Source organism: Homo sapiens, chromosome 11 (genome assembly GCF_000001405.40).
Source record: "Homo sapiens chromosome 11, GRCh38.p14 Primary Assembly".
In the NCBI taxonomy this organism is placed as follows: Eukaryota; Metazoa; Chordata; class Mammalia; order Primates; family Hominidae; genus Homo; species Homo sapiens.
The window spans coordinates 129630530-129640805 of NC_000011.10; the positions used below are offsets into that span (position 1 = coordinate 129630530).

A 10276-nucleotide genomic window follows, 5' to 3' on the forward strand; every position below is an offset into this window, starting at 1 on the left:
TGGCAAAGGAGTAGTAACTGATACCATGGGAGTCTAAGCCACCTGCTCATGGAATTTATCTGTGCATTCTGGATCTGCCATATCCATTTAACATACTGCCCATGTCCAATTTTATTATTTAGAGGATCAGAGAATATCCAGTTCATGATGGGTGTTTCAGATCACAGTTACGGTATCTTTTGGTCAGGCATTCCGTTTCTGCAGAGCATGTTAGCAATCCAAGAACTGATTTTCATAGTTATTAGCAAAGATGGACAGGCTTACTCCAAATCCCTAGGGGTCTGTGCTGTAATTCTCTCATTGGGTCCTAGTAGAGTTTCTATAAAGCATCCCTGTCTGTCAGAAACATTTTAGTTGCCATTGGAACTGATAGGTCATAAGGCACATGTGTCAGGGTAGCTTACACAGTGGTCTGGGTCTGTTTTATAGTTTCTTGCTCCAGGACTTATTCAAAACTGACAGCTTTATAAATTACCTGGTAAATATATTAATGTGGTAGATATTTGCCTGCAGTATCTAAAGCAATACATCAAGTACTATGCTTCTTTCTTCATGGCGGGCAGTTCAACATACAGAGTCTTGTCTCTCACTTATAGGAGGATATCCTGACGTAATCTAGGCCCAGGGCCTTTTTTACTGATTTTTCTGTCTTCTGAAGTTTTATGGGGCTTATCTCTCATCTTCTGGCATGCATATGTCTTATTAAGACATTTAAGGTATGTGATACTTCCTGTCCACCAGATCTAATTAGCATAATAACCAGAATAATGTTCTGTAGAATATCAAGATGCTCAAGATCCCGCAATATTATATTATGACAGAGAGCAGGAGATTGACATGACTCTGAGGAAAGACCGTGAAAGTGCACTGCTGACCCTTCCAACTGAAAGCAAACCTTCTGATTTGTTTCTGATTATCTTTATTGATGTATATACAAAAAATTAAAAAAACTCTAAAACAACAATGTGAATGTAAATTGTGCATTTTAAAATCATTAAAATGGTAAATTTCATGTTTAAAAAAAAAGAATAGAAAATATCTGCTAGGTCAATAGCTGTATACCAGGTGCCAGAAGTTCTGTTGACTTTCACCAGTAAATATTCCACATTAAGAACAGCAGCTTGAATTGGAGTTACCACATGATTAAGTCTGAAATAATCCACAGTCATCCTCAAAGACCCACATAGCTCTTTCACCAGCAAAACATGTTCATTAAAGGGTGATGCCATAGGAATCACTACCTCCTGCCTTTTAAAAGTTCTTAGTGGAGGAAATATATCTGAAATTCCCCTATAGAAAGTCAGTTTCAAGGACCCCTTTTTGGTGCTTCTTAACCTAACAGCTCTCACTCCACAGATCAGAGAACCAATATGGAGATTCTGCTGGTTACTACGCATTTCTAAGTTACACTATACAGTCTGGCGTAGGAATGACAGTAGGTTAGGTTCCTTAATTTATTGAGATGAGTTTGAGTCAGGAGTCCATCTATCACCTAACATTCATAAGTCTTCACTCTTGCCAATGAACTCCGAGGCATTTATGGAACTCTAGAGATTAGAATCAGCTCAAAGTCACTGTCCAAGAATACCCAAATGTTCTGCTTATTTCTCTGTCATCAGTGCAGTCACTCTGGTAAATGGATGCTGGTTTCTTGGGGAAAGACATGAAGAAATATTTACAATATATACATGTGATAACACTCAAGCACCCTTTCCCAAAGGGGCTCAACTTTCTCCTCAATCGGGAGACTCCAAGTCTTTTTGAACAGACTTACGTCTGATAATTGGGTAAGAGACTATGAAACCCTATTACAATGTCTTGATTTCTATTTTTGTCTACTAGACTTAGAATACTTCCACTTTTACATTTCAATTAGCACTTTGGCAGACTGCCTAGCCATTCTATTCCTTTGCGTCCTTGATCTATTTGCCATCATTTAGATCCATGTGAGTAAAAATATAGATCACCCCATCTTAGTCCATTTAAGCTGCTGTAACAAAATTATACAGACTTGGTGTCTTATAAAAAACAGATATTTATTTTTCATAGTTTTAGGGGCTGGGAAGTCCAAGGTCAAGGTGCCAGGAGATTCAGTGTCTGGTGAGGGCCAGGCTTCATAAACAGCTCCTTCTTTCTGTGTCCTCACATGGCAGAAGAAGCCAGAGGTCCTCTCTCAGGCCTGTTTTATAAGGGCACAATCCCATTCATGAGGACTCCTCCCTCATGACCTACTCACCTTCCAAAGGCCCTACTCCTAGTACCATTACCTTGGGGGCTAGGGTTTTAACATTTAAATTTTGAGGAGACACAAACATTCAGACCATGGCAGCCTTTATTCCAGCAGCATATAATGATAATTTTGTATAAACATGTTTTTGATGGCTAAGCATCACCACCAGGGCTCTACCATACCATCACCCATTATTTCCACTGAAATCAGGGAACTCAACTTCATTGCAACATCTGCCCACCATGATCTCTGACCTATGGCAGATAGCCACAACACTTTCAGTAATTCTGATGCTCTCTTGAGCAATGCAGTTTTATATCTTAATGAAGGGGATGTCCTCTAGGACTTCCTGGGGAGATGGTTAAGTAGTGGCTGAGCAAGCTGCTCATGTTAAGTCCATTCCAACAGTCCCGTCTCCGGAGCCTTTAGACTCCTTTCTCTACATTATTGATTTTAGGGTTTTGCTACTTGAGTATGATCCATGAATTAGACCTTGTTTGAAACACACAACCCCAGGCTCACCGTAGTCCTCGAGAATCAGAATCTGCATTTCAACAAGATCATCAAGTGATTCTTCTGCATGTTAAATTTTGAGAAACCCTGTTGTAGGTCATTGTTGAATCCAGGCTTCAGTTAAGTATCACTTCATAGTCGTCTGAGTCAATATATTAAATCTAGAATCCCAGGTGACTGCTCCAATATTAATTAATTCTGCCTGATCTAATCTTTTATTCCATCTTCCCGGGTCCCACTCCTTCAGAATCTACTCACATACATTCTTCCTAAAGGGAAACAAACACATTAAAATATGACCTGGCTGGGAGAAAGCTAGGGGCAGAGTCACCCATAGGGTTTGCAAGGTACTGGGCAAACATATTTTGTCTACATAAACAATTCTGTTTAAAAATATATTGTGAAATTCATGGGCACATGTGAGTTGAAATAATTTCTAATATATGCATAACTCCTTGGAACCTGTTTCCATTGAAACAACATAGATTTCCCTGCCTCTGCAGTTCCCTAAAACCATTTATCAGTTAACACAGGTTGCATCATTACTCATGGCATTGCATCATTTATCATACTGCCCATGAATATTGGCTTCCAATGACTCTCAAAGTTGCAACTGTGGGCTGGGCACAGCGGCTCACACCTGTAATCCCAGCACTTTGGGAGGCCAGGATGGGCAGATCACGAGGTCAGGAGATCAAGACCAAAGACCATCCTGGCTAACACAGTGAAATCCCATCTCTACTTAAAAAAAAAAAATTAGCTGGGCATGGTAGCGGGCGCCTGTAGTCCCAGCTACACGGGAGGCTGAGGCAGGAGAATGGCGTGAACCCGGGAGGCGGAGCTTGCAGTGAGCCGAGATCGCGCCACTGCACTCCAGCCTGGGCGACAGAGAAAGACTGTCTCAAAAAAAAAAAAAAAAAAAAAAGTTGCAATTGTGTATCATTTGTGATGACCAAAAATGCAAGCTCATCCAGTGTATGCAAGATGTGAATGATAACTTGTTTTCTGGTCATGTTAAGCTTACCATTCAGAATTTAATAGCAAAAACATAGAACAGGGCTTCCTCCAATCATGTCTTGAACTCTTTAGGGCACAATCACTGCAGCCTGAATGTGGTCTCATTCAATGTTGAGCGCACCTCTGCCCTCAACACAGCATCACTGGGGGGAGAACAGGTTCAAAAGACCTACGGGAAGAGTGAGAAGGGGGGCTCTCTTTGTGCATGAAATATCTGTTCCTCCATTAGCATTTCTTAATACTGAGCTGAAGAGCACAATGACACATTTTCCTAGATGGTTATAGAAACCTCAGCTTAATTCCTGATCTGAAACTGCATCATCCCTGCAGACTCCCTCCCCACAAGCCCTGCCCTGGCCCACAAGCTGCACTTCAACTTCAGTGCTTATGGCTCTAGCTGTCAGGGTCTTTGCTTATCTGTGCTACCTAAAGCCTTCTTTGTTGTTTTCTTCTGAATTCAACTCTGTTTTTAAAGTTTTTACTGTATGTTATCTAGAATTCCCAGGCAATTGTCATGGAAGAGATGTATTGTCTCAATCTACCAGGTTTCCAAAACCAGAAGTCCTCACTATCTTTCTATTTCAAATAAATTCAATTTAATTCATCTCAATTTATCATGCATATATTGAGAACCTAAAATGCGTCAATTCATTGCTAGACATTGGAGATCAAGAGCTAAGACTCAGTTCCTGCTTTTAAGAAATGTGCAGTCTCGTGGAAAAGGCAAGCATATTTTAAAATTATAACACAATTTGTTAAGTTCACGTCCATTTTACAGAATAAGCAGTGGGAGGGTTAGACTGAAAGGAGACATGGCAAGAGGCCAGAGACCAGTATTATATAGTGATTATTTGACTAAGACATTACAGGGTCTGTAATACTGTTTCCATGCGGGACTTCTTTCCTGACATTTCTCAAGAAATTTATATGTTTTTCTAAGTTCCAAATTTTAGAAAAATCAGTCAAGAAATCAGAAACATGAAAGTATTATAATTCTCCTGTGAGAATTAGAGCTTAACAATTAACAAAGAAACATTACTGGCTCAAAGGAACCCAATGACATCAAGCCAAAAGTAAGAACAGGAACCCTGAGCCACAGAGACAAGTATTAAGGTTGACATATCTGGAAACGGGGCAGAGGCATGTAAGACAGAAGCAGCCACAGCCTAATCAGTCTTTCTTAGGGCTGTGGCCATGGAGTCAGTGTGTGTTGGTAGCCCTGTCTGCTGGTAATCAGTTACTCTTGCAAATAAAATAAATATTAATAAGATTATACATTCAGTAACTGTTATATAAGTCCTATAAGCAGTGTGTCAAGAAATACAAGTTTCGGAAGCAAAATAAATCCCTAAATGGACAATTTTGTCATGCAAATCCACAGGGGTGATGGTAACCTTGTTAGAAGATATGAATGTCATGTTATTTGAGTATTGCCCGAATTGTTGGCATTTTCTAGTGTTTAAATATCTGCTATTCACTGAAGTTCTTTCCAAGTATGTTGACCGCCCAACAAAACTACGAAGAGAATAAATTAATGTTGTTATATAATGTTCTAGTAAGCCACCCGAAACTGACCTAAAATCTGAATTAACAAAAATAGTATATTTTTCAATGGACAAATGAAAACCAGAATAAGCAGATAAAATATTTTCATTGCTAAAAAAGGAAATGAACTTATTTGAAGCAACATGTTCCCTGACTCCCAATTTGAAGATGCTTTTGAACACATCTTTAATCAATCAATTCAATTAATGTAACACAAGATGAAAGATATTTTTCTACATTTGCAATATTTGTCCTAATATTGTCCAAAACTATTTGACAGTGAAATTCATGCCTATGTGTCTTACAATTTTATTAAGGATAATTTTAAAAATATTTAATATTTGTTGTATTATCACTCAATGTACTAATAATCTTTACTTGGCATTGATTTTGTGTTTATTTTCTCTTCTAATGTTTTCTATTATCAAATGTGTATATTAGGTAGAGGCCATTTTTGCATATTATTGAAATATATAATTGTGTCATAGTGTTTCGGTTCATAGCAATAGTAGCAAAGCATTTATTATTATCTCTTTTTCTTTCTTTACAGAAAGCCTCTCAAATTTTTAGTATAACCCTGTTACAGAAAAACTCTTCATTATTTATGATTATGACCAATTTTTATTATTTTAAAAACACGTAAGTAATAAGTCACACTAAATATAGAATAATTTATGAGTTTGCAAATTACTGGGCATTCCATTTTCTTGTTTCTGCATCACAAAAATTAATATCCGTCAGGAATTTGGAAGCAGTGGCCAGTACTAAGACAACCACAGTGGAAATGAAGAGGGAAGAAAAAACTAAAGAGGTATTTAAGAGATAGGATCGCCAGGATTTACTGGCTGACGAGATGTGAGGAATAGGAGAGAAAGAGGAATCTAGACTAGCTCCTAAGCATCTGGTTTTGTTGACTTGGTTGGTACAGGTTTCAGGAAAAAAGGCTGGGGGTGGTAGCAATAGTAGTAGTAGTGGTAATGTTGCTCTTTTGAAATCCATTCTTGATCCTACAGCCAGAGGGATGGTAGCGAGGGGCCTTAGCTCAGCTGAGATTGTCACAGCACATAAAGTTTAAGGAGCCCGGGTTACTTGGCCGGGGATGTCCTCGGGTGTTTGGAGCTCAGCGCAGGGGTTTGTTCAGGAGTGGGAGGCTTGACATTCATCCACAAATAGACGGGAGTTACAATCACGGACATGTCAGTATTTGTTTCCAACTATTTCAGACTTGTTTAACAGATCTCAAGTGTAACAGAAAAGGTGGGTGTTTAGGAGCAATATGGGATAATTATTTTACAGCTTTCTCAGCCTTACCCATTATCTTAGTCATTTTGGCAAACAAAACGTGACAGCTGGTTGTGGCTTTTACCCTCTAGAACTTCCACAGCTACAGATATACATACTGTAAAAAGTAAAGGAGAAATGCCTTCTGTTTTTACTTTAGCTTGAAACCAAAATTTTAGTGAGAAGGAGAAATCTTCTTCTTTCCCCACTCCATTTTCCTTTAGTTACAACAACATTTACACACACACACAGGGAAAAATTATGAAAATAAGTTAAATCAAGTAGAAAAAATACAGTACAGATATGACAAGAGATGAAGAGAGCCCAGCAGAACCACTCTGTCACATTAATACAAAACAGTCAACTTGTGTGACACAAGGACCTCATCCTAATGATTTTTTAAAACTTGAGGCTTCGTGGCCTGTTCTGGTCCATACACTACAGAGCTTAGAGGTAAAGTTGAAGGCTCTAGAGTTGACCGAATTGAGGTTTGAATCCCAACTTCACTGTTCCGGGCTATGTGACCTTAGGTGAGCTATGCAATCCCTCTAAGCTTCAGTTTCTGTATATGTGAAATGAGTCATCCTTGACTTCTCCCATTCTCTAACCTCTCTGTCAGTCATCGACTAAACATTTCTTGTATCTGCTAACTTCTCTCCATCCCCACTGCCATGTCCAAGTTATGGACATCTCGTATGTGGACTGTTACAACACTCTCTAGTTGTTCTCCCCACATCCACGTTGCTCACTGAAATCCATTCTTGAACCTACAGCCAGAGGCATCATTTGAAATCATAAACCTGATCATATCATTCTGCTACTTAAAACCCTGCGATATCTCCCCATTGCCTGTGGAGTTTACCACCACTACCACCTGACAATGGGGTGCCTACCAGAACAGTCTCTGAGCTCCCTCTTCAACCTCCATCTCCTCTACCCCATGCACCTTGACCATTAACCTCCTTTCATCCTTCAAGTCTCAGCTTAGAAGCCACTTTCTCAGGAAGTCTTTTTTCCTCCCCACCCCACACCCTACTTCCTGCCTCTAGGTGTTCCTACAACACGATGTACTTCTCTCATCATGACACGCATCACACTCAATGACAGTTGGCTATTCACTTGTCCATATTCCCAAGTAGAGCATAAGCACCTCAAGAGCAGTTACCCGTTTATCTTGTTCTTGTTGCATCCTCCACCATTTAGCACAGTACTTGGGGTAGAAAGTGCTCAAAAATATTTGTTGCATGAATAAATAAGTGAATCAAACTTCTAATTTCCTGTTTCTAGCTGGGATGTGTTCTTTCATCCTGGCCTTACTTCCTGCTTGCTGTGCTCACTTCATGCTTGGTACTAATCGTGTGATACCGAATCTAGATTCCTAGTTGTTATATATATATCATATATATTTACAGATTAAATATAATATGTACATAATAGATAAATTATAATTACATAAACTTAATATTTAATATATTTAATTGATTGTTCTATAATTGATTGATTATTTGAATGACTTTTATTTATTCATTCTTCCATTTGATCAGCCTTTGACCATCTTATTTTTATAGTAACCATAGCCCACTGGCAGTTTATTTTAATCTATGATTTATGCATTCTACCTTTTCTAATTTTTTATTAATTTTTAAATAATTACTTCTTATATCAGCCACGTTTTTATCAGGAAAATAGAAGCCACTCTGTGTCTTCCAAATATTAATAGTTTTAGACAAGAAAGTGAAGCTTCTGCAACTGTTAGGGAAGCAAAGGTCAAGGAGGCCATTGTTAACACTCTGCTTGGAGCACTGAAGCACACGATTCCCAGGAGCTCACCTGGAAAACTGCAAAACTTGTGAGTCGAGAGATGCTCTAGACATCTATCCCCTCTCGTAGCACAAAAGGCAATTCTCCAAAAGTTCATCTGAAAGCTGCTTTGAACCTTACATCTCTCCATGCGTGTGCCTACAACTGCCACTGGAGAATACTGGCCTTGCCTTCCTCCTTCCTCATACAAGTGCGTCTTCCTGGATGGTCTCTCCTGAACCTCACAGAGAAGAGAATTCTGCAAATTACAACTACAGTCCTGATTTCTCTTCCATGGAGCAGGGAGACATTAGAAGGGGTGGCAGGGATGTTCAGTTGACAACAAATAGCTCCACACACTTGTTCTACGCTCACTGAAAACAGTTATATTAATGACATTGATGACAATAAGCTTAATAAATATTTTGTTTGTCCACTGGGTACCAATGCCCACTTTCCTGTAAAATAACAAAAACTAAATGGTAATGCCCATTCAGTATGGTGCATACAATGAACGTTATGACTGACGCTGAGCTGTCTGCATTACTGTTTTATGACTCTTAAGTGGATAGATGAGTCACATCCTTGTGTCCTACACACAACCCATTAAAAGCAACAGGCCTCTGCAGACCTGGGGAAAAACAAGGCAGTCTTGCACTCTTAGATTTCATTCCTGGCAAAGGTGCTATAAGTCAAAATGATGTAAGCTGAATCAGATTTTCCAGTAGAAACTAAGCCACATTCATTACCAACAGCTTAAAGACCAACCTCTTTATAGAAAATGACCACAGACGTCACAATTAGCTAAATGCAAATGGTATATCTGTAAACAAGTCAATGTAAGCCTTTACAAAACATATAGATACCGAACAGGGCAATACAGAAGTCAACCACCGGATTATAATCGCTATTTAAAATGCTGATATCTTCTAATGATTTTTGTTATATTTACCAAAATGAATAGCATTTGTTCAGGGACTCTTTGGGCACATTCTGAGAGTAATCTTTAAAAAGATCTGTGAGGAAAATTAGGAATGTGCGATATGTTTTGAGAAATAAATCCAGGGATGTGTGCTCCTTAGTGTCCGTCTGCTTATAGTCCCCAAATGTACAAAGCAAAGAATAATTGGCCATTGGGTTTTGCTTTCTGAACTGCTGGCACATAAGTACTAGCTACTTACTACCTTATACCTAAAAATTGCTTTTAAAATGCACAACTTAACCTCCATTTTCACTGAAATTTCTGACATTTTATCCCCTATTACACTATTACAAAGTGTCAGGAGCTCTCAGTTCCTGACCTAGAACAGAAGCCAGGTCCACTAATATATATCAGTGGGTCTGACTCATTAGACTGATTATAAAGGTTGATTTGATTCTGACTCCAGAAATAATTCTTTTGCAGCAGTAGTAGAATTGAATCCTCTAATGGAAAAATGTTACTTTCCAATTAAAAAAAAAAAGACTCCGAAAGAGTGACTATTCAGAATACTTGTAAGTTAAAAGCACTTTCTTTTCCCCCATAAGTGTACTGGAATGTAGAGATCCAAATTCACAGTCTTCTCTGAAAGTCATTATTTTGCTCTAAACCTTTCTGGGATTTCTGTGTGTGAACTGCCTTTTAAATCATCATAATCCAGGTGATGTGATCTATGTCAATCACTTTATGTTCACAAGACAGTTTTCATTTGTCCACGGCCTTTTTTTTCTTCCTCGGTCCCTCTCTTCTCTCCTCCACTTAATCTGCCGGAAATCCAGATCTTCCTTCTCTGTTACCTTCATGCTGGAGCCAGACAGGAGACATTCTTAAGTGCTGGGAGTGGGTACTGGAGCAGGGATAGTGGAGCCCAACCGAGGCTACCTGGGCAGGAAGGAGCACATCATCAGGAA

The 10276-nt window shown here is 38.9% G+C and overlaps 1 annotated feature.

Moving 5' to 3' along the window:
* Window positions 8651-9850: an enhancer, noted in NCBI's record as "P300/CBP strongly-dependent group 1 enhancer chr11:129509075-129510274 (GRCh37/hg19 assembly coordinates)". NCBI's record gives its function as "activates an origin of replication core promoter dependent on BRD2, BRD4, P300/CBP, MED14 and CDK7 cofactors, with strong dependence on P300/CBP, by STARR-seq in HCT116 cells {active_cell/tissue: HCT116}" and the evidence as "EXISTENCE:reporter gene assay evidence [ECO:0000049][PMID:35650434]".